Source organism: Homo sapiens, chromosome 3, assembly GCF_000001405.40.
Source record: "Homo sapiens chromosome 3, GRCh38.p14 Primary Assembly".
Lineage (NCBI taxonomy): Eukaryota > Metazoa > Chordata > Mammalia > Primates > Hominidae > Homo > Homo sapiens.
In genome coordinates this window covers 183,120,512-183,145,721 of record NC_000003.12, presented here as the reverse complement: position 1 = coordinate 183,145,721, position 25,210 = coordinate 183,120,512, and the positions used below count along the sequence as shown (strand labels likewise).

The window sequence follows — 25,210 nt, the reverse complement described above, 5'->3', positions numbered from 1 at the left end:
CCACACCCTGCTCATTTTTGTATTTTTTAGTAGAGACGGGGTTTCGCCATGTTGGCCAGGCTGATCTCGAAGTCCTGACCTCAGCTGATCCGCCCAACCTCGGCCTCCCAAAGTGCTGGGATTACAGGTGTGAGCCACTGTGCCCAGCCCAATTTGTAGTTTTTTAAATTGAAATACTACCAATGACAACAACATAAAGAAAAATCAGTCACTTAACCTTGTTGTTCAATCAAGGCAAATTATCCATATCATTCGCTTTGTGACCATGGACAGGCTGCTCATGATCTCTGAGCCTCAGTTCCTCTTCTATAAGATGGAGCCAACGAGTGCTTATTTTGCTGGGCTGCCATGAGAGTGTGCTGAGCTAAAGAATGTAAAAGTGTTCAGCGTGGTATTTGGCCCCTAGAGGGGTCAGGAGAGGTGGATTTCCTTTCTTTTTTTCCCGCAGTTTCATTTTTTAAAGAACTGAAAACCTTTCCCTGTCAGTGTCTCATTTGGTTAGGGTGACATGCTGAAAGTTGTTCAGACCCTTCCAGTTCAAGATCACATGCATCTCTCCCCACACCTCCCTACAACATCCTTCCTGGTGGGATAGTTGCTTTTAAAACATTCTGCAGTAACTTCATTCTGTGCACAGGACTATCCCTTTCTCCTCCACCCCTTTGGCCGGGCAGCTCTAGGTCTCCAGCCCTGGCTCGTGAAATCAACCATCAAGAGAGGAGAGGTGCGAGGGTCAGGCAGTGCACTGGCCGACTGAGGTCCTGGAATCAATGCTGCAGACCCACCTGTTGTTTCCCCAGAGCTTTTTTTGTTTTTTGAGAAAGGGCCTCCCTCTGTCACCCAGGCTGAAGTGTGGTAGCACGATCAGGCTCACTGCAGCCTCAGCCTCCTGGACTCAAGTGATCCTCCACCTCTCAGTCTCCTGAGTAGCTGGGACTACAGGTACATGCCACCATGCCCAGCTAATTTGTGTATTTTTTTCTAGAGACAGGTTTTCATTATGTTGCTCAAACTGGTCTCCAGAGCCTTTGAGGGGCATTTGGAACCCTCTTGGCCTACGAGCTGGGCTTCTGAGGACTGTGACCAGTGTTCAAGTGTTGACACCCTCACAGTGCACACTTAGAACTCCCCAAGTGATCTGTACTTTCCATGCTCTTTTTCCCCTGGTACTTTTCCCTCTGCCTAGAAGGCCCCTCCCACCCCTCAGCTCCTTTAGCATCCATCCTTAAAATAACTCAAATATCATCACCCTGTGAAATTCCCCCTTCCCCACTTCCACTTCAGGTAAAATGAGAGACTTCCTCCTCTTAGTTCCCTGAAACTCTATTCATTGTTCCCCAAACTTCATCAATGCACTTGTCACACATTTTGCCATCCCCAAGGCAAAGTCTATGGCTCCTTCACGTCTCTTCTCTAGTGCTCACCCCGACTTCGCATATAGTATATCTTTAGCAATGTTTGATAAACAAATGTATCAATGAAGGAGAAAATCTAAATTTTGCAGAGAACTCTGGGTCAAAGTGCCAAAAAGTAGATCACAGGTTCCTTTTGCTATGTCCAGAACAAAGCTTTCTTGATTTAGTCACAACAATGCTGAGCGAAAAGGACATGATTGATGCTGAAGACAAAATCCACATCCTGAACAGCTGGGACTATGAAACTTCCACGGTGTGTTTTGCAGAAGTGGACAGGGGGACCTTAGGACCCCATGGTTATTGGCATGCTGGCGTCCTGGGCAGGATGAATTGGGCTGGTTGGTGCCAGACCCCCGTATGTCTGCAGAAAGGTAGACATGTTGGTGGACCCACAGTTTTGCTAAGGAGGATGTTAAGGTTCCTTGACGGATTAACAAAGGACCACAGAGCCTAAAATATTTCTGGAAAAAAGTTTACCAAAGACGATTTTATTTCCTTTAAGAATATTCAGTAACACTACAATTCTACAGAATAAAGTGGTACAATTGTCTAAGCCTCATTCCATAGCATAAATTGTGTAAAACTTGGAATCTTTTTTTTTCTTGGAAAGAGACACTTAATAGGGATGTATGAACAGAAGCCATGTCTGTCTTGAATGGTGATGAGACAAGATGGTATATCCCCACGCCATTAACCCTGAGACCCAGGGCTTAAATACCATATGGAAAGGGTGAGTCAGAAGAGATGTGTAGGACAATTGAAGTATGATCATGTCAAGTCAAGCTTGTAATCTTAAGAAAACTAAATATCCCCCTGTCCTTTTGTTTACATGAATCCACCTAACAGATACTTTTCCTTTACTCTAAAGATAGACATCATGGCTAGACATAGTAGCTTATACCTCAAGCCTCATTCCTTGTCAACCCAACACCTTGAGAGGTCAAGTAGGGAAGATCTCTTGAGGTCAGGAGTTCAAGACTAGCCTGGGCACCATAGTGAGATCCCATCTCTATAAAAAAATTTTTTTTAAATTAGCTGGCTGTGGTGCCACGTGCTTGTAGTCCCAGCTACTTGGGAGGCTCAGGCAGGAGGATCACTTGAGCCCAGCAGGTTGAGGCTGCAGTGAGCCAAGATCTTGCCACTGCACACCAGCCTGGGCGACAGAGGGAGACCCCAACTCAAAAAAAAAGCTAGACATCAGCTTAGTCCTAGTCAATGTTTCACTAATTTTGACTCAGTCAAAATGGAAAGAATTCTGAGTACAGCTTCCAGACTCTGTCCTGTGTGTCCTTAAGATGAACTCAGAGTGAATGTGAGCACCCTGCTTACGGAAGGCCTCATTTTTTGATTAGCCCTAGAAAGCGCAGATTCTTGTGGAACAGCAGTGGCCCTGCCCATCAGGGACGGGTTCACAGGTGTTCTGCCTGTGCATCCGGAAGGGCTCAGACTTGTTTTCATGCTTTGCTGTTGCCCCATGAAATTCTTGATTTTTGAACACATGGCCCGGCACTTTCATTTTTTACTAAGCCCCAAAAATTCATTATGTAGCCAGTCCTGCTTCCCATCAATGGTTATAGGTTTCAGCTGCATTTCAGGGAATGTGAAAGTAAATTCTCACATAATGAATTTTTGTTCTATACCCACACATCCCATGGAGGAAAATGTAGGGCAGGATCTTGCTTTGTCTCACCTACAAACTACATGCATCTGCGGTAGATGCTTAACTCTTCTGAGCCTCTTTGTTCTCAGCTGTAAAATGGTCTGTTAATATCGATTCTGTCTCGGGGTCGTTGTAAGGATCAAGTGAGGCAATGTCAGTGAAAGCATGCACGTGGCGAATTCTGAAACTCTCACAGAAATGCCAAGCATTCTTCCTTTAGGAGGGACAGGTCAGGGAGACACCAAAGGGAAGATTCCAAGAGGCCTCTGAGGAGTCTTTGCTGACCTCATCACTATTCTGCTGCTCCTCAAATCAATCTCACAGTGCAGCCCGAGCCATTTACAAAAACAAAGCTATGCTCATGTCACTGCCCTGCTTAAAACCCTTCGATGGACGCTCTTTGCCCTTAGGGATGGGGCGGGGGCCTTGTAACCCGGACTGTGGACCCTGAAATATAAGTCTCTCTTATATTAAAAGAGGCTCCAAATTTTAAAAATGCCCCAAATAAATGGTATATTAAAGCAACACAAAGATGGTCTCTTTTTAAAAGAGATGTTTCTCCCTAAAGCAAATGGATTGTCTAAAGGCATTGTTCAACTTGCCTTCAAGAACCAAGAGACTGAGCACCTTGACGGAGGCAACCAGGTCCTCTCCCAGGACCAAGAACAATCCCTGGCATGGAGTGGGTATGAAAGAGACGTTAAAGGCTAGACTTGAGGCAGGCAGAGCTGGAGGTCATATCTTCCCCTGCCACCTCTTAGGGCTGTGACCTGGAGCAAGTCACCCAGCCTCATTTTCTCTCATGATTATTGTGAGGATTAAATAAGGCAAGTGCTTGGAAGTGCCTGCGACAGTGCCTAACACGGGGTAAGAAGCTATTGTGTGGTAGGTGCTATTCAATGAATTGTAGGATCTAGAGCTCAGTGTATCAGTATCAATGACCTTACTAAAACAGTTTCTATTTATGGAACCCTTTGATTGTATAATGAATCAACATTTTATCCACTAATACACAAATGAGCTATAATGTGGTCAAGATTAGTATTGTTAAGTTTCTCTAATGACTATATTTGAAACCTCTAAAAGTAATTCAATTTCAGGTTTTGATTTGGGTTGCTCTGCCATTTTTGCATCTCTTAACTTGTAAATGGTTTTCTAAGGAATGTTTAAAACTGAGAACACTGTGGATCACCTCAATTAAAAAATAGAAACTCCCTTTTCAACTTACCCTTCTACACCCCAATTCAGTTCCCTAGAAGGTTTCAGACCCTTTGTTTTTATAGGGCTGTTTTGTAGTTTGTTTTTGTTTTTCTGGAAAGATAATTCCTAGATGAAATGTGGGGGTGCTGCTTTAGGTTTTAAATACAACCACTTGGGGTTCTCTTCTAGAGAATACCCAGGGATCTCAGGGTAAGGCATGTCTTCCCATAATCCCTCCCACTGGCCCCATTTAGCCATTTTGAAGACATAGACCCATTAATCTGTGTAAAGCCATTCACACCCTACATAAGAACATGTACACACCATTTTGTATACATTGTTTTTCCCAGAGGGTTTATGGACCCCGGGAGGTCCTCCCATGGTATCCTTAAGGATGAGCCTTCTAAGCCAGATGGAAGGTCTTAAAAATAAAAGGAAAGGATGAGTGGTCTCAGGATAAGAATTCCTACCCTTAGATATTAATTGCTAGTAAACACTTAATATATGCTCCTGCTCCTCCATCTTCCCAATGGACTTGCATTTTAACAGGGAGAAATTTGGCCCAACCGAAGGGACTCAAATTGTACTGGTGGAATTTGAATACCAGGCCCTAGCAACTAGTATGCAGTAGGGAAATTTGGGGCCAGGGGAAAACTGTTAGTTATTATTTATTTATTTGTGGTATGTTTACTTTTTTGGAATTTTCATACACAATTATGACCCAGTACCAAGTAACTCCCCAGCCCTTATATCCAGATTTAATAGCTGGAATCTTAAACAAAGTTTATAAACCAAGATTGTAAACATATGAGTAGAGATAACCCAAAGGTTAACACCCTACTGTTTTACAGGATGAAGAATCATATTATATCAGTGAAGTGGGAGCCTATTTGACCGTCTCAGATCCAGGTTAGTAATTACAGAATGCCCATTCGACCAGCCATGACGCTGTTTCTGTTGGTTAGCTCACCTTTCATCCCATTGAATCTTCTCATGTTTGATGCTGCTTTTTTTTTTTTTTTTTTTTTTTTTTTTTGAGATGGAGTCTTGCTCTGTTTCCCAGGCTGGAGTGTAGTGGCACGATCTCGCTCGGCTCCCTGCAACCTCTGCCTCCCGTGTTCAAGCGATTATCTTGTCTCAGCCTCCCAAGTAGCTGGGATTACAGGCGTGTGCCACCACACCCAGCTAATTTTTGTATTTTTAGTAGAGATGGGATTTCACCACATTGGCGAGACTGGTCTCAAACTCCTGACCTCAGGCGATCCACCCACCTCAGTCTCACACAGTGCTGGGATTACAGGCGTGAGCCACTGCACCCGGCCGATGCTGCTTCTAAGGAACAGACTGAGAAAGCAGCCAGCAATGTGATTTTGGGGGACTTTACTACGCCTCTGTGTGCTGTAATTTGCCCATCTGCTCATAAAGGAGGCTGGACTAGATTACGTCAGAGATCATGATTGGCAACAATAAAGAGTTTAGTGGCTTTTTGACAGATTTGCTGTCGATAGTGCAGCTTATTCTATACTCTGGGAATCATACATTCATTCTACTAAAATGTAGTTAGTGCCTGCTAGGTGCCAAGCCCTGTATTAGGCACTGGGGATCCATAATTTTTCAAACTAATAGTTCTTACCCTCATGAAGTTTACATTCTAGAAGAGGAAGAGGACAACAACACATTAAATGATAATACAGTACTGCCCCCCGACCTTATTCGCGGTTTCACTTTTCATGGTTGGTGCAAAAACAGGTGAGTACAGTACAATTAGAGTTTCTGAGAGAGAGAGCTCACATGCACATCACTTTTTTGTAGTGTGACAATTTTTCTATGTTATCATTAGTTATTGTTTGTAATATCTTACTGTGACCAGTTTATACATTAAACTTCATCACAGGTATATATGTATATGCAGGAAAAAACAGTATATCTAGAGTTCAGTACTATCCATGGCTTCAGGCATACACTGGTACACTGGGGGTCTTGGGTTGTATCCCCCAAGGATAAGGGGGACTCCTGTGCTCTGTTAAGTAGTGATAAGTTCTTTTTTTTTTTTTTTTTTGAGACAGTCTCGCTCTGTCGCCCAGGCTGGAGTACAGTGGCTTGGTCTCAGCTCACTGCAATCTCTGCCTCCCAGATTCAAGCGATTCTCCTGCATCAGGCTTCTCAGTAGCTGGGATTACAGGCACCTGTCACCACGCCTGGCTAATTTTTGTATTTTTAGTAGAGACGGGGTTTCTCCACGTTGGTCAGGCTGGTTTCAAACACCTGACCTCAAGTGATCCACGCACCTTGGCCTCCCAAAGTGCTGGGATTATAGGTGTGAACCACTGCACCTGGCCCAGTAGTGATAAATTCTATGAACAAACACAAGCAGGGGGAGTGGAGAGGAATCGAAAGCTATTTTAGGTGGGACATTAGGGAAGCCTTCAGGGGAGAAAGGCCCTCTCTGAAGACGTGAAGTTTGAGCAGAGAGATTCAGCTCTTTGGGGGTATCTGGGCCTAGGGAAGCCCTTTCCAGATGGCAGGAAGAACAGATGCACAGGCCCTAAGGGGTGAGCTGGCTAATGTGTTCAAGGACCTGCAGAGTGCCAGTGTGCCCGGAGAGAGAATAAGCAGCAGGTGAGGTCGAGGGACAGAGAGCCAGGCCAGGGCATGCAGAGCCAGTGGCAAGGCAAGGGTCAGGACTTTGGACTTTATTCTAAAGTGTGAAAGGATGCCACCGAGGGGTCTAGGGGAGAGAAGAAAATGATACCTCAGATTTACATTTATAAAGGTTCACTTTGGTTGTTGTGTGGAGTAGTGGGGGAAATTCAGAGAACTCCTACAGTATTCACTTCTCGTGTGAGAAGCAAAGCTCCCACTCACACAAGATGTCTCTCAGAGGCCTCAAATGTTTCCCTGGAAAGTTAAATAACCTTTATTTGTTTGTATCCCCCTGTGCCAGGTACCGTACTAAGAGTTTTCATGTCTGTTTTCCCCTTTTCAAAGCTCTATCCTTTGACTAGCTTAAACATTATTTTACCAATTAAGGAATTTATGCCAAAGAAACTTGCCAAGAAATGAAAATGTGGAGTAATGTCTACTTAAAATATCAGCTACATTGTAGTGATATGTTCAGGGGGATTTGCCAATGATTGTTAAATGTAAGTAAGATAGCATAGTTGACAACTCATTTTCATATATGTTAATTCACTTAGATCTGTCTCCTCACTTAGGATAGAGAATAAATATTGTGAGTGCTAACATAAATTTGCTAATGTTATCACTAGATATGGACCAGATTTTAGCCAGCAATAGAATAGAAATCTCTCAAGAGGTAGGGGAGTCCGGGTGCAGTGGTTCACGCCTGTAATACCAGCACTTTGGGAGGCTGAGGTGGGCAGATCACCTCAGGTCAGGGATTCAAGACCAGCCTGGCCAACATGGCAAAATCCTGTCTCTACTAGAAATATAAAAAAAAGTAGCCCAGCATGGTGGCGGGCACCTATAATTCCAGCTACTCAGGAGTCTGAGGCAGGAGAATTGCTTGAACCCGGGAGGCAGAGGTTGCAGTGAGCCAAGATCTCACCACTGCACTCCAGCCTGGGTGACAGAGTGAGACTCTGTCTCAAAAAAAAAAAAAAGGTGGGGGGAAGGGGAAGTCTGATCAAAAATTAATTTAAAGCTGAGGGTGTGGGAAAATCAATTCTAGGTCTTGATCCTAATGGCTGAGCAGGAACTCAAGGAGTCACAGTAATGATGATTTTCATGTTAGTGGGGGTATTAAGAATAGTAATCAGTTGTAATTACGGTAGTGACAGTTGTAATGTTAGTGGGGATGGTAGTAGCAGACTACCCAGGATATAACACGTGACCCGGCAGTGTACACAGAGAATTCAGTACATTGTATAGGGCATTTGCATGTACAGACGCTGGCATTAATGCCACCTTGTTAATTCATCGTGGGACTATTCCTTACTGTAACTACTAAGCAGACCAGAGAGTTGGGTCCTCTGGCCAGTGAAATTTCTACCATTCAAGAAGCTACAGTATAGTCAGAAGGGTGCTTAGCAAGCATGGAATTAGAGAAAATGGAGTTCATTGTATGATTAATTATTTTTCTTTTATTATTATTATTTATTTATTTTTGAGACTGAGCATGGCTCTGTTGCCCAGGCTGGAGTGCAGTGGCACGATCTCACCTTACTGCAACCTCCACCCCTCGGATTCAAGAGATTCTCCTGCCTCAGCCTCCCTGAGTAGCTGGGATTGCATGTGCCCACCTCCATGCCTGGCTAATTTTTGTATTTTTAGTAGAGGCAGGGTTTCACCACATTGGCCAGGCTGGTCTCAAACTCCAGACCTCAAGTGATCTGCCTGCCTCAGCCTCCCAAAGTGCTGGGATTACAGGCATGAACCACCAACCACCATGCCCGGCCTACTTATTTATTTATTTATTTTAGAGACATTCTTGCTCTGTGTCCCAGGCTGGAGTGTGGTGGCATGATCATAGCTCACTGCAACCTCGAACTCCTGGGCTCAAATGATCCTCCCACCTCAGCCTCCCAAGTACTTGGGACCACAGGTGTGTGCCACCATGCCTGGCCTCAATGATTAAAATGTTTAACTTCATCTGCCTGGAAGCCTCCACTTCCTTGAACAGGGTGTACCTTTCATAAGAGAGGGCCAGTCCTTAGGCAGGTTTCTCTCCCCAGGTGGCGATCAGAAGGGAAGAGATGGGCTTCTCCCTTCTCTCTGTTTCTGTGGATGGATGCAACAACCCCTCCTAATGAGTTGTTTTTTTTTTTTTTTTTCTGAAACGGAGTTTCACTGTTGTTGCCCAGGCTGGAGTGCAATGGCACAATCTCGGCTCAACACAACCTCCACCTCCTGGGTTCAAGCGATTCTCCTGCCTCAGCCTCCCGAGTAGCTGGGATTACAGGCATGTGCCACCGCGCCCAGCTAATTTTGTATTCTTAGTAGAGATGGGGTTTCTCCATGTTGGTCAGGCTGGTCTCGAACTCCCGACCTCAGGTGATCTGACCGCCTCGGCCTCCCAAAGTGCTGGGATTACAGGCGTGAGCCACCGCGCCTGGCCCCTAATGAGTTCTTGACCCTGCTCATCTAATACATTCAGCCTGGTGATAAGCATTTGCTGACTGCATGTCCCTTCACTGATTCATTAAGGGTTCTGTGACTTTCTAAGTCTCAGAAAGCAATCTTCTTTTATCTCTAAAATTTTGGAGGCGCCTCTCTGTAGCCCCCAAGTACTGACTAGTTCCCACCCACTCTGTCCCCAATGATTTAAAGTAACCAAAGAACACATTCTCAAAAGTTCTCATTTCATTATTTGCGCATTCCAGTTTATGTGAGGTGTCTCCCTTATACCCCAAACAGAGCAGCTGAAAAAGTCTCCAAACCGCACCAGGGTGTTTTTTCATGGGGAGAAGGTGGCAGAACCCCCAGAAAGCCCCTCGGAAGGAAGGAAGGCCATTTAGCTGTGCACAGGCAGCCCGGCCACAGCTGGAGCTCAGCGGTTACATCTCAGGACTCTTATGCATCTATCTGTCACCTTTTCAGAGACAATTTACCAAGGAATCAAACATGCGGTGGTGATGTTCCAGACAGCAGTCGGGCATTCCTTCAAGTGCGTGAGTGAACAGAGCCTCCAGTTGTCAGCCCACCTGCAGGTGAAAACAACCGATGTCCAACTTCAAGCCTTTGATTTTGAAGATGACCACTTTGGAAATGGTAAGTTAAGGGTCGATCAGGTTGCAAACATACACTTTAGAGACCCCAGGGTAGATCCAAAGTGTTTTCTGTCTGCAGCTGTCGAAGGAGCAAGCATCTCATGAGCTTCCTGGGATGGTGTGATTCCACATAGCTCACAGGGCCAGGCTCCTCTGGCCACCTCAGAATCAGGCACCTGCACCCACCCAGTCACGGCTGTCCCGCAGCGGGTTGCACTCTCTTCGACTCACGCACATTCTTACTCATTTAAACACTCACGCGCTCAATCAAAACAACAGAAATACCACCTGCGACTTCCCTTTATGTCCTGTTGGGTGTAAATTCAGATATGTTTGGAGAACACTTTAAAGATCCTGAGTATCAGTAATGTCTGAAATCAAGATTTCAGAATAGTTTCTTCCCCACCTGCAGAGGGAAAAGAGCAAGATGCAGCAATTCAAAATAGAAGGAAACTCTGTTGGACCCCCTCATCTCAATTACAAGCTGTTGGAGCCCCTCGTCTCCAGTTATAAGCTGTCACACCCAACAGTGTTTCCTCATAGTCAGTTTTAGTTTCCCTCTAACTTCTGCCTTGAGTTCTGACCATCACAGGCAGAGCTTGCCTGATGACTGCCCTGGAGGAAAACAGGTCCCTGGGCAAGGGCCAAGAGCAGACCAGGGTGACTTTCCAGAAAAGCCCTCTTCTCCCTTCCAGGAACACATTGTTATAAGGATTTCTGCCTATGACCAGGAGAGTCATATGCCAGAAAAAGCCCTCTTCTCCCTTCCAGGAAAACAGTGTTACGAGGATTTCTACATATGACCAGGAGGGTCATGTACTTCAATTTCTAAAACATCCCTCTCATAATAACTAAAAAATGTGATGAGTACTTCCCAGTTATCAAAAATAGATTTAGCTAGAAGTTTAGCCGTATTTTAAATGTCTACAATATGAATCTGATTTTGCTTTGGGTTCCATCATGAAATTGCAGATGTGTGTAGCAGAAAACTTCTCCTCATGTACTCAGTGGGAAGCATTTGGCAGAGGAAGGACTGGCCATTGCTTGCCTTGGGTCCCCTGGTTTCTGTAGGCTTTGTCGGAGTCCCACAGTCATATGAGAATTTGCCAGTAGAGGTTGGCCCCATTTGTCATCCACTCTCAAAAATGCTAGTGTTGGAAAACTATTTCTTTCTTTTACAATCATTATGAAGGTTTGAAAAACTTCTGTAATCGTGTGATCTTAAAAAAAGGTACACACTTGCTCTTCTTCCCCTTCAGAACCTCTATGAAGCAGGAAGTGATCAGGTCTGGGAAACTTCTTAGTGGCAGAGGTAGGAAATAAAACGTTTCAGCAGTGCACGCCAGTGTTCACAGGGATGCATAGAAAAGCTCGCTTGTCTTTACATTTTTTTTTTTCTTAAAACCATCATTAACTGGATAGTTTTCCAAACAACAGACTTCAGAGTTCTCCTTAACTCCTCTCCCTCCAGCACCCTCTCATACAAATAGTCACAAAGCCCTAACAATTCCACTTCCAAAATGTTCCCCTTGTTCTCCCACTGTCACCGTATCAACTCAACGCCATCTTCTTAGTCTTTGCACTTCAAATTTCACTAAAGATGCTCAAATGTGAAGAGGTATGTCATTCTGTAAATAGGATTTTCTACTAGAGAGTAAGAGAAGGGGGAAAAGAGGAGCAAGTTACCATACTATATGGTGTTTAAAAGACACATGTGCAAAGGGTTATGGGAGCCCAGAGGAAGTTGTGACTGACAGCATTGGTGATGAGAGGGTGGACTAAAGAAGTCTTGAGTGATAGGCGATTTTTAAACAGGGGATCGAAGAACTGGAGAGGAATCCAGCAAGTGTCAAAGCTGAGCCTTGTAAAAGATAATGGTCATCCCAAACAGTAGACTCCTGACTCCTAAAATCTCCTCCTCCCTAAAATCCTGGAGCCTGCAAACATTGTGTTTTGTTTATTGAGTTTTAGGGTTTTTGCTGTCCTTTTCTTTTGCTGTTTATTATGCTGATTTAGGAGCCCCAAGCTATCTGAGCAGCCCCTGTAAGAAACACAGAGTTAGGACTGGGCGTGTTGGCTGACTCCTGTAATCCCAGCACTTTGGGAGGCCAAGGCAGGTGGATCACTTGAGGCCAGGACTATGAGACCAGCCTGGCCAACATAGCAAAACCCCATCTCTACTAAACATACAAAAAACTAGCCCGGCATGGTGGTACATGCCTGTAATCCCAGCTACTCGGGAGGCTGAGGGATAAAAATCACTTGAAATCAGGAGGCGGAGGTTGCAGTGAGCCGAGATTGTGTCACTGCATTCTGGCCTGGGTGACACAGTGAGACTCTGTCTCAAACTATTACTAGAGTTGGAGAATATGGCTCCGGGAATTACTCTAGTTTGAGAGTCAAGACATAACTCTGATCACAACCCTCTAGGCCAAACTAGCATTTTCTCAAAGTTGGATCTGCCTGGAAGCAGCATCAGAATTCCCCTGGCCTCAGCTCAGACCCACTGAATTATCATTTCTTGGGCATGTGTCTGGGCATCTGCAATTTAATAAGCTCCCTAACTAATTACCAGTGCTACACGTGTCAGATCCACTGTATTGACCCTTTCCCTCTCGTTTTCACCCACTGTTGTCTGAGCCCCAACAGCTCCATCTTCCCCTCTGTCTTCTTTTCTCCAAAGCTGAGGCAGATGTGGCAGTGCCACTTCCCAGCATTTGTGGCCAGTCTGTAACACTTGTTACTCTGACTTCAATTACAGCGGATGAATGCTTCAGTGACAGAAACAGGAGAGAAATCCCTGTGGCCATGGGCCTGAGTATCACAGGACTGCTTGTCATTTTGCTAACCGCATGTCTGGTGGCCAGAAAGAGGCCCAGTAGAGGATATGAACGCATGTAAAGCCCCACTTTCTTCAAAATGTGCAAAGTTAAGGTCTTGGGAATTCCAGCATCATATTCAGCCTGAAGTGAAAGGATTGACCTGTCTCGTTGCCTGTTGCACCCTCCTGAGCTGATTAGGAAACCTAACTTTCCACCAAAGGGCTACCGCAGTGCTGGGAAACAGCACCTCCCCTACTTCCTCCTGTTGCTTTGGGGAGGCCATGCCAGGTGTGCTTGATGCCCTCTGCCATACCTGAATATACCAGTGCTGGCTTCCGGAATTAGGGGCAATAGGCAGAGACATGAGTGGGGTGCTTGTGAGAAGGGAGAAAGCGAAAACCCGGAGGGAGAATTGTGGGGAAGACGTTTACAAATTGACTGATTTTTCTTATACATTTTCAAGAGTCCTGATTTTCAGTTTTTAAAAACATTACTTTAAAAAAACCAATGCATTTCAAAGTTGATTACAAAATGATTTTAAACTCCTGGATTTTACCCAAATTTTGTTTACTTAAATTATAGATGATCTTAATATGCTATTATTTTAAAAAAACATATCCTACTCTATTGTAATGTATTATCAGTTTAAAAAATTAGGAAACTGCCTATTTCACTTTTTTAATTTAAAGCACATATCAAAGATCATGGCAAAAAAGGAGGGGCTCAATAAATGTTAGCCCTTCAGTTGCTTCAATTTCATGTGTTGTCTGCCTTCTTAGCTACTTTTTTCCGGGTTTGTCGGCTTTTCTTTGATGTTATTTTATTCTTGTAAATGTGTCCATTTGGACCATTGCAGGACAGGAGGGAGACAGAGCAGGGAGACAATATGGAATGGCAAGCAGGAAGAGGTAGACCTGCCTGGAGGATCACTCACTTCCCTTTTACGCAAACATTCACCAAAAGCAGTACATTCCTGATGGGGGACGGTTGATATCTGAGGGAAAAATTCTATTAAAATATGGCTTAGGATGTTATTCATGGTTTCCTATTACATTGATGGGGGTTTTTCATTCAGAGAAAAAGGAGAGGTATGTTCTTAATTGATTCTACTGACTGGAAGTTTTCTTGTTTTTCCAAATTTTCCAGAGGTGCCATTCATTATTTTTAACATGACATTTATGAAATTTGGCAACAACTCTAAAACTACTGCCTACTTAGGAAATGTACTGACTCTCCCAGGAGGCATTTTTGCTCTCCTTGTTTTCTTAGAATTGGGGCTGTGGGGAGGGCACACCGCAGCTTCAAAAGAGCACTAAGAGCCCCTGAAGACATCCAGAGTGTCAGAAAATGTCTGTTTCCCTCTTAAAACAGATGTTGATGACAATCTGATATGAGGACCCGGGAGTTCCCCAAAGAGACTCGGGCTTAACAGCAAGAGCTTGGCTTTGGAGAGCTGTGATCTCCTTCCACCTCCTCCTTCAAACTGGCACCTGCTCCAGGCTCCCCTGTGTCCAGTGTTAAGGGCACTCGAAAGTTCTGTAGGGCAGAGGACAAGGTGTTTATTCACCAGCCACTCACTCTTCTGCAGAATGATTAATGTAAGATTTACCTTCTAGCATGTGGAAATTTCTCCCCTAGCAGATGAAACAAGAAGCAGAATTTAAAATCAAGTATAGAGGGATATGACCACTTAAATTTAATTTTCCTCCCTACCTTCTTCAGTGAGTTCTTTTGGATGATGGCCACTGCTTGGACTCCTGCTATCTATTCCCCCGACCCCAGTACTGATTATTTTTAGAATTAATTTGAATTAGCATTCTGGTAACCACAAAAAGCAAAGGTTTCATTGGAATGGCCAGTAAATAAACGCTTGGATGTGTAATTTACTCACAGTCCTGCCCACTTTCCAGGTGGAGAGCAGAGGGGGCAGTGGAGCTGGGCTCCTCACCTGCCTCCCCTCCTAACCACACACACATTCACCCTAAGAAGCCTGTGATGAGAGGGAAAAAAATTCTGTGAACTCCTCCATTACTAAACCTGGAGGAAAAAAAAAAGAGTGGGTTGCTTTATTTTCTTCGTTTTCCAACCTAGGGTAGTGAAAATGGCTCCCAGGAAGACTGGGAAGAGTAAAGGGAGGGACAGACGGAGGTGAACTGGGGAAGAAACCCCAAAGCAGACGATCGCTCCAGGCTGCAGCTAGTTTCCATGCTACAAAAAAGAGAATAGAATCCAAATATCTAACCCAAAGGGAAACATTAACTGATCTCAGATGCAATGGAAAGAAAGACCATAATTCACCCAAACGGCATCATAGGAAATGGAGTATCTCGACTGCCACGCTCAAGCATGAGCAAGATGAAAACAAACTGCATGGCCACTGTGCCAAAATACTGCAGCAAAATAAGAATAGTTTGAAATTAAATTAAGAAAAGGAGTGAGGCCAGGCACGGTGGCTCACGCCTGTAATCCCAGCACTTTGGGAGGCCGAGGCGGGCGGATCATGAGGTCAGGAGATCGAGACCATCCTAGCTAACATAGTGAAACCCCGTTTCTACTAAAAACACAAAAAATTAGCCAGGCGTGGTGGCAGGCGCATGTAGTCCCAGCTACTCGGGAGGCTGAGGCAGGAGAATGGCGTCAACCCGGGAGGCAGAGCTTGCAGTGAGCCAAGATGGCACCACTGTACTCCAGCCTGGGTGACAGAGCGAAACTCCGTCTCAAAAAAAAAAAAAAAAAAAAAAGGAGTGAGGGTGTATTAGTTTGCTAAGACTGTCTTAGTAACATACCACAGTCTGGATGCCTTAAATAACAGAAATGTATATTCTCACAGTTCTGGAGGCTAGAAATTCAAGGTCAAGGTCTCAGCAGCATTGGTTTTTCTGAAACTTCTCTCCTTGGCTGTAGATGGCCTGTGTCTTCACGTGGTCTTCCCTCTGTACCTGTCTGTATCCATATGTCCTCTTTGTGTAAGGATACCATTCATATTGGATAGAGGCCCACCCTAATGACCTCATTTTAACTTACTGACTTCTTGAAAGACCCTGTGTCCTAATACATGTTCTGTGGTCCTGGAAGTTAGGGCTTCACCATGTAAATTTGGGGGCAGGGAGGGGATACAATTTAGTCCATAACAGAAAGTTAGAAATGAAAATAGTAAAATACAAAGAAAACATAATTCAAGGAACAGAAAGAAATTCCTGACAATTGCTTGATGCTGAGAATCACTTAATGTGAATTCCAGGTAATCAGAGTTTAAAGATAAGATGTTAAAATGAAAGAGTAAGAAAACAAGATGAGTGTCAAAGCAATACACTGCATAATGTATAGAAACAGTCAGAGGCAGAATAAATAGGGAGGAAATTATATTATTTTCATAGAGAGAATGACTGAGATCATTACAGGTAATACAGATAAACCTTATGATTAAAGCATTACAGGGAAGCTACTAGATATAGAAGCTATTCAGCCCATCCAACATAAGTATAATTGGTGCCTCTGACGTATAGACCTCAAAAATAGAATGAAGATATATTTGAAGATTTAAGGAAATTTCCTTGAGATAAATAATTGAAGTTGGGATTAAAAGAGCATGTCCCAAAAAAGAATTGATACCAAAAGTTTTACACTGGGACATATTGGAAACAAGCTATAAAACTTCAAACATGAAGAAGTCTTTAGGCCTTTATGGAAAATAAAATAAAATCAGCTATAAAAAGGGAAAGTTAAAGTTGACCTCCAATTTCTTGACAACATTTAAAGCCAGCAAATAATTTCTACAATGATCTAAGAAAAAGAAAGTGTGACCCAGTGTGACCCAAAAATATGAAGTATAAAGACAATAGGCAGATATTCTTTTGTTTGTTTGTTTGTTTTGAGACAGAGTCTTGCTCTGTCGCCAGGCAGATATTCTTAAACATGAAATAATTCAAAGGATGCAACACAAATAAGCCCTTATAAAAAAATATTTGTTGACAATGAAATTCACCAAGAGAGGAAATGAGTCGCAATATAAACAAGGAAATAAACAGCCTTCAGGAATAGAAAAGTCACAGTAGGCCTGGCCTAGTGGCTCACACCTATCATCCCAACTCTTTGGGAGGCTGAGGCAGGAGGATTGCTTGAGCCCAGGAGTTTAAGACCAGCCTGGGCAACATGGCGAAACCCCATCTCTACAAAAAATACAAAAATTAGCTGGGTGTGGTGGCACATGACTGTAGTCCCAAACTACTTGGAAGGCTGAGATGGGAGGATGTTGATCCATTTATATATAAAACATACTAAACAATTATGGGCCTGGGAACACAAACACACCTTCACATATATGAAATGATATTTGTACGTGGTTATTCATTACAACATTATTTATAATAGCAAAAAAATGAAAACAAGCCAAGGGTCCATCAATAGGGGCCAGATTTTAAAACTGTGATTCATCCCACAATGGAATCCTATACAGCTACAAGAAGAATGAGGATGCTATGTATGTTTAAGGAAAGAGTTCCAAAATATGTTATATCAAAAAATCATAGTGCATAATAGTATATTCATTATTGTTCTAGCTGCACAAAGAAACATCAGAAATATAAACAAGAACTAAGGAAAGGAATCATCTAATGGGGACAGGGAGAACTAAGAGGAAGGGGCAAGGGTGGAAGTGAAACTTCTCAATGCACAGCATCTTGTATTATTTTGACTTTTCAAATCATATGACAGTGTTAAATCGTCAGAACACTTTTTTTTTTTTTTTTGAGATGGAGTGTCGCTCTGTCTCCCACGCTGGAGTGCAGTGGCGTGATCTCGGCTCATTGCAAGCTCCGCCTCCCAGGTTCATGCCATTCTCCTGCCTCAGCCTCCCAAGTAACTGGGACTACAGGCGCCTGCCACCACAACTGGTTATTTTTTTATTTTATTTTATTTTTCATATTTTTAGTAGAGACGGGGTTTCACTGTGTTAGCCAGAATGGTCTCGATCTCCTGACCTTGAGATCCACCTGCCTCAGCCTCCCAAAGTGCTGGGATTACAGGCGTGAGCCACCGTGCCCAGCCAGTCAGAACACATTTTAAAGACTACAGGAATGATAGTTATCAAATAGAATTGAAGTGTCATAAACCTGGACAATGGATCAAGGTCAAAGATTGTTTCCTTAAGTTGAAATAGCAACCAAAACGTTGTTCACACAGGGCTTGGGGGGCGGCTGCTGGCACTGTGGGCTTCTTAATGAAAAAATTTAAGCTAAAAACATCAAAAATTAAAAGTTTTTAAAACATTTTTCATTTAACAGGCCATTGAAATGCATGGTACAAAAATCAGTGATAAGGTTATTATAAAATGAAATGGACAGAATAAATGTTTGATTTAATTTTCCATCTATGAGAATTTCACAATAAAATCAGTTTACTTTTTAAAAAAGAAAAAAAAAACATAGACAATGTTAAAAACAGTGACATAACTATTCAAAATTTGGAGTTGTCTGGGCACAGTGTCTCACACCTGAAACTTTGGGAGGCCGAGGTTGGAGGATCACTTGAGGCCAGGAGTTCAAGACCAGCCTGAGCAACATAGTAAGGACCCCATCTCTTCAAAAAAGTTAAAAAGTAGCTGAGTGGGGTGGCATTTGCCTGTACTACTAGCTACTTGAGAAGCTGAGGTGGGAGGATGGCTGACCTCAGGAGCTGGAGGCTTCAGTGAGCTATGATCGCACCACTGCCCCCCAGCCTGGGCAACAGAGCAAGACCCTGTCTCAAAAAAAAAATTGGGGGAGTTGAAGAGAGGGGAGATGGAAGGGACTCTGTTAGTGCTACTCTTTCAAAACAGTATCAATAGATAATGTTTAAACTGGAAACGAAGTTTAGTAAACACAAGTCCAATTTATTTCATAACCTCTTAATGTATTTCATAATTGTTTAATGCATACTTCATAATCTCTTTTTAGAACTCTAAAGGGACCCTTTATGAACCAATATTTCCCATGACAAAGAAACATTGGTTTGTGATAATTCCTTCAAGTTCTTTTATCCTATTAAACACAAGTAAAATTGAAATTAACAAATGTAATAAAATAGTACTTGTATGATCCTATCTTAATAAAAGTATTTCTATTTATTTTTCTAACCTATCTATCCTTGTAGTTCTAAAGAAAGAGGCCTGAAATAATGTTTCTCCATATTAGCAATGACATTTCTTGGTGGATGGTCTTGGGGTAATTGGTTTTACTTTTTTGTTTGTGCTTTTTCTCTATTATTTTAGTTATTTATAATGAGAATAGACTATTTAAAATAGAGTGATTTTGCTTTAAGCATGCACGTGAGTTTGCACACATGCACACGTGTGCACACACACACACACACACACACACACACATTCACAGAGGAACTACATGCCCAAAAAGGTTTATAGTGATTGATTCAAATAGAAGAAATGGGGTGATTGGATCAGTCACTTCTTTTCTTTGTGTACTCTTTTGCATTTTAGAAATGTTTAAACAATGTTAAATAATTTAATAGCTTAACAAGAGAGAGTAAAAGTTGCCCTCCACTTCCTTCCCAGTCCTCCTGCCAGTTTTTGGTGTATCTTTTCACACTGGACCCACAAGCACATGGGTTTGGGTTCACATGATACTTCACGGAGCTTAAGGAACTTCTGTTACAGAACACCGAGACCTACCACGTTCTTTTTAATGGCTATATTATTTTCTATTGTCTGAATACTATTTTAGTTTTTACGTATATTTAAATTGTCTCATAAAATGGACAGTGCTGTAATATACCTTTGCATAGTGTATGAATATATCTTTGGGATAATTTCCTAGAGATAGAATTATTGGGTCAACAGGTGTGTGCATTACATTTTGTTTTAACTTTTTGTATTTTTTCCCACTCATTTTAATTCCTTAACTTGTCAAAGTTCTTTTTTCGTTTAAGAAATATAGGCCAAGTGTGGTGGCTCACGCCTGTAATCCCAGCACTTTGGGAAGTCAAGGATTGCTTCAGCCCAGGAGTTTGAAACCAGCCTGGGCCACATAGCAAGACCCCATCTGTAAAAAATAAAAAATTGGCCCAGCATGGTAGCACACACCCCTAGTCCCAAGAGGATGAGGTGGGAGGATGGCTTGAAGTCAGGAGTTCCAGGCTGCAAAAAAAGAGAAACATATATAAGTAACAAAGTTTCATGTACTCCAAAAGGTCTTATCATGGAAAGCAACATTTCTCTGTCCCTCTGCCTCCCTGCCCCAAGATACAAGATACTTTTAACTAATTTTAACAATTTCTTCTGATTGCTATCTCCATAACTCTAAAAAATAAAAGCTTATCATGATAGTTCCTAATTGATCCATTTTAGACTTCCTGCTATAGCACATAAAGATTTGTGGTTACACAACTATTTTTGGGTAAATCAGTAAGGTATTAAGGCACACATTATTATAGTTTTATAAATATTGTCTGCTGTCAAGCCAAATCGTGTACTACAATCACAGTTTCTTTCTTGTCCAAATTTTCTTTTTCCTGGAATCTTTAATTAATTGCCACTCTGTCTTCTCTGACCTCTTCTGATACTTTTTTTCTCAGATCTCAGGTACACTGAATTGGGTTGATGGTGATCCTTGGTTCAGGACATAATTTCAGTGTTAGTTCGTACAATGACCTCACACATGTATCTTTTTAGCTATAATGACTAAGACATGGTTCTTCATTTATTTGCTCTTTTCTCCCAGTCTCTTCATTAGAGTATTCTATCAACTTCCCCTTTTACCCCAGACCCCTCCGTCTTTCCTCGGTTGAGATTTATTAGTCTCTGACCCAATCAATTACATTAAATGAATTGAGTAAGCGTTTTCTAATGGTATAAAGAAAAAACAGTCTTGATAAGTTTGTAAACTCTCACTTTTAAGCTCTCATAAATAATTTGGTCTGTTTTCTAATATTAGCTAAAAGTAATACAATAGAACCTTAGGAGTGACAAAAATGTTTTATAAAGTGGATAAAAATCATGTTTCTCAAGAGATCATCTGTAATCTGGTCACTGGTCACACAAATGTTTTTTGTTTGTTTGTTTGTTTGTTTTTGAGATGGAGTTTCGCTCTTGTTGCCCAGGCTGGAGTGCAATGGTGTGATCTCGGCTCACCGCAACCTCTGCCTCCCGGGTTCAAGCAATTCTCCTGCCTCAGCCTCCCGAGTAGCTGGGATTACAGGCATGTGCCACCACGCCCGGCTAATTTTGTATTCTTAGTAGAGATGGGGTTTCTCCATGTTGGTCAGGCTGGTCTCAAACTCACGACATCAGATGATCCGCCCGCCTCGGCCTCCCAAAGTGCTGGGATTACAGGCGTGAGCCACTGTGCCCGGCTGGTCTCTTTTATGTAAGCATATCCCACTTAGCAGGGAGTATGCCTGGAGTGACTTCTTACTCAGTTCAGGAAATAAGGATTATGATTATTGAATGTTAATTACTAAGAAAATATGGTTATTTAATCTTCTGACAGTCTTACATATTATTTGCTTACTTTATAAATTAGGAAATTGCAAGGGTAAATTACCTGCCCAAGGTCACAAAGCTAGTTAATGGTGGAGTTAAAAGTCAAGCTTTGTTTGATGCCAAAGCTCATCTTCTTTCCCCTCTAGCCTGCTTTCTGGACTGCATCACCAAACCTTACCCACTGTATTGTATTTGTTTTCTCTCTTAGTGGATGAGTGCTCGTCTGACTACACAATTGTGCTTCCTGTGATTGGGGCCATCGTGGTTGGTCTCTGCCTTATGGGTATGGGTGTCTATAAAATCCGCCTAAGGTGTCAATCATCTGGATACCAGAGAATCTAATTGTTGCCCGGGGGGAATGAAAATAATGGAATTTAGAGAACTCTTTCATCCCTTCCAGGATGGATGTTGGGAAATTCCCTCAGAGTGTGGGTCCTTCAAACAATGTAAACCACCATCTTCTATTCAAATGAAGTGAGTCATGTGTGATTTAAGTTCAGGCAGCACATCAATTTCTAAATACTTTTTGTTTATTTTATGAAAGATATAGTGAGCTGTTTATTTTCTAGTTTCCTTTAGAATATTTTAGCCACTCAAAGTCAACATTTGAGATATGTTGAATTAACATAATATATGTAAAGTAGAATAAGCCTTCAAATTATAAACCAAGGGTCAATTGTAACTAATACTACTGTGTGTGCATTGAAGATTTTATTTTACCCTTGATCTTAACAAAGCCTTTGCTTTGTTATCAAATGGACTTTCAGTGCTTTTACTATCTGTGTTTTATGGTTTCATGTAACATACATATTCCTGGTGTAGCACTTAACTCCTTTTCCACTTTAAATTTGTTTTTGTTTTTTGAGACGGAGTTTCACTCTTGTCACCCAGGCTGGAGTACAGTGGCACGATCTCGGCTTATGGCAACCTCCGCCTCCCGGGTTCAAGTGATTCTCCTGCTTCAGCTTCCCGAGTAGCTGGGATTACAGGCACACACTACCACGCCTGGCTAATTTTTGTATTTTTATTATAGACGGGGTTTCACCATGTTGGCCAGACTGGTCTTGAACTCTTGACCTCAGGTGATCCACCCACCTCAGCCTCCCAAAGTGCTGGGATTACAGGCATGAGCCATTGCGCCCGGCCTTAAATGTTTTTTTTAATCATCAAAAAGAACAACATATCTCAGGTTGTCTAAGTGTTTTTATGTAAAACCAACAAAAAGAACAAATCAGCTTATATTTTTTATCTTGATGACTCCTGCTCCAGAATCGCTAGACTAAGAATTAGGTGGCTACAGATGGTAGAACTAAACAATAAGCAAGAGACAATAATAATGGCCCTTAATTATTAACAAAGTGCCAGAGTCTAGGCTAAGCACTTTATCTATATCTCATTTCATTCTCACAACTTATAGGTGAATGAGTAAACTGAGACTTAAGGGAACTGAATCACTTAAATGTCACCTGGCTAACTGATGGCAGAGCCAGAGCTTGAATTCATGTTGGTCTGACATCAAGGTCTTTGGTCTTCTCCCTACACCAAGTTACCTACAAGAACAATGACACCACACTCTGCCTGAAGGCTCACACCTCATACCAGCATACGCTCACCTTACAGGGAAATGGGTTTATCCAGGATCATGAGACATTAGGGTAGATGAAAGGAGAGCTTTGCAGATAACAAAATAGCCTATCCTTAATAAATCCTCCACTCTCTGGAAGGAGACTGAGGGGCTTTGTAAAACATTAGTCAGTTGCTCATTTTTATGGGATTGCTTAGCTGGGCTGTAAAGATGAAGGCATCAAATAAACTCAAAGTATTTTTAAATTTTTTTGATAATAGAGAAACTTCGCTAACCAACTGTTCTTTCTTGAGTGTATAGCCCCATCTTGTGGTAACTTGCTGCTTCTGCACTTCATATCCATATTTCCTATTGTTCACTTTATTCTGTAGAGCAGCCTGCCAAGAATTTTATTTCTGCTGTTTTTTTTGCTGCTAAAGAAAGGAACTAAGTCAGGATGTTAACAGAAAAGTCCACATAACCCTAGAATTCTTAGTCAAGGAATAATTCAAGTCAGCCTAGAGACCATGTTGACTTTCCTCATGTGTTTCCTTATGACTCAGTAAGTTGGCAAGGTCCTGACTTTAGTCTTAATAAAACATTGAATTGTAGTAAAGGTTTTTGTAATAAAAACTTACTTTGGAGATTTGTGCATGTCATTTATTTTTTATGATTCATTTTTGTGCTGTATAAATTTTGTTTACAATCATCTTAGGTTTTTGCTCCGATCAATAAGTTAAATCATCTTTCTATAATTTGTTTCATTCTATTCTCCATTGCCACATTATCACTTGGTAGGAATTCCTGAGAAGATAAACCACATTAAAGTTACATATGAAATGTCTCAACTCTTAGCTTAGACTGACTGCATTACTAGTTTGCTTAAATGTCGCCACGTTTGTTCATTCATTCATTTGATCAGCATTGATAAGGATTTGCTAAATGCCAGATACTCTTGTAGGAGCTGAGATAAATAAGAGGTCCTATATTAGTTACCCATAGTGATCTGAGAGAAAGAGAGAGAGGGCTGGGAGCGGTGGCTGACACCTGTAATCCCAGCACTTTGGGAGGCCGAGGCAGTCAGGTCACGAGGTCAGGAGTTTGAGACCAACCTGGCCAATATGGTGAAACTCCGTCTCTACTAAAAGTACAAACAAATTAGCTGGGCATGGTGGTGTGCACCTGTAGTCCCAGCTACTCGGGAGGCTGAGGCAGAAGAATCGCTTGATCCCGGGAGACAGAGGTTGCAGTGAGCCGAGATCATGCCACTGCACTCCAGCCTGGGCGACAGAGCGAGACTCCATCTCAAAAAAAAAGAGAGAGAGAGAGACTGACCAAGATGAAAGCCGTCATATTTTTATAACCTAATCACAGAAGAAACATACTATCGCATGTCTGTTTATGGTTCACACAAACCATCTCTGGTACACTGTGGAAGGGGACTACACAAGGGCTCGAATATCAGATTTTAGTCCATTCTGTGCCATTATCACAGAATACCACAGATTTTTTGATAACTTACAAGCAATAGAAGTTGATTTGGTCATGGTTCTGGAGCCTGGGAAGTCCAAGATGGAAGGGCCAAATCTGATGTGCATCTTCTTGCTGCCTTGTAACATGGTAAAAGGCATCACATGGTGCGAGGACACAGAAGAGAGAGCAAGAGGGGGCCCCACACTTGTAATAATAGCATTAATCCATCCACGAGGGCAGAGCCATCATGACCCCACTGCCTCTTAAAGGTCCCGCTTCTCAACACTGTTGCATTGTAGATTAAGTTTCCAACATATGGTTTGGGGGACACCTTCCAACCACAGCGCCGGGAGAGGGAGGAACCCCTGGAGGCAGCGTGGATGCTGCCTACCTCAGGTGCCTACTGTCAAGGTGAACATTGTGGAATTCGTGGTTTACTTTTTGGAGGGAACTTCAGTAAATAAATTCCAGTATATATACTAAGATAAGTGGATTAATAGGAACATATACAAGGGATGATGAGAGCAAGGCCCTTTCCAGCCTGCTTCCAACCCTGCCCCAGGTGTAGCACCTCCTCAGGAGCACAGCCTCCCAATCCCTGGTGATGAAGGTCCATTGACCACAGGGTCTGGTGTTGACCCATTGGTCTACAGCACTGACGTCACGGCTTCACCTTCCTAAAAGAAAGTAGCCAGGATGGCTCCAGCCCCTACCCAATCTGCCCCACCTTTGTTCTTCTCACACTTTTCTTGCTTTGTAAGGTCCTAGATCCCCCCTCTGGACTCCTGTTTGGGGCTCTAAGCTTGAAGGCCAAGAAGGTCTGAGGACACAAATACATGAGCCACTCCTTCCTGACCCGGGTCTTGGTTCTCTA

The 25,210-nt window shown here is 42.6% G+C and overlaps 1 protein-coding gene across 4 annotated transcripts in view; it reads left to right on the top strand.

Moving 5' to 3' along the window:
• Positions 1-23,507, top strand: part of LAMP3 (lysosomal associated membrane protein 3) — a 41,599-nt gene extending 18,092 nt beyond the window's left edge. Inside the window, exons 4-6 of one of the 4 annotated variants that reach the window (NM_014398.4) lie at positions 5,127-5,184; positions 9,835-10,005; positions 21,508-23,507. In NM_014398.4, the coding sequence (NP_055213.2) occupies positions 5,127-5,184; positions 9,835-10,005; positions 21,508-21,641 (363 nt within the window). In that variant the 3' untranslated portion in view covers positions 21,642-23,507. Of the gene's footprint in view, positions 1-5,126; positions 5,185-5,918; positions 6,025-7,263; positions 7,292-9,834; positions 10,006-12,765; positions 18,939-21,507 lie in introns of those variants that run through there. The other 3 variants (XM_005247360.6, XM_047447967.1, XM_011512688.3) reach the window with 3 other exon arrangements.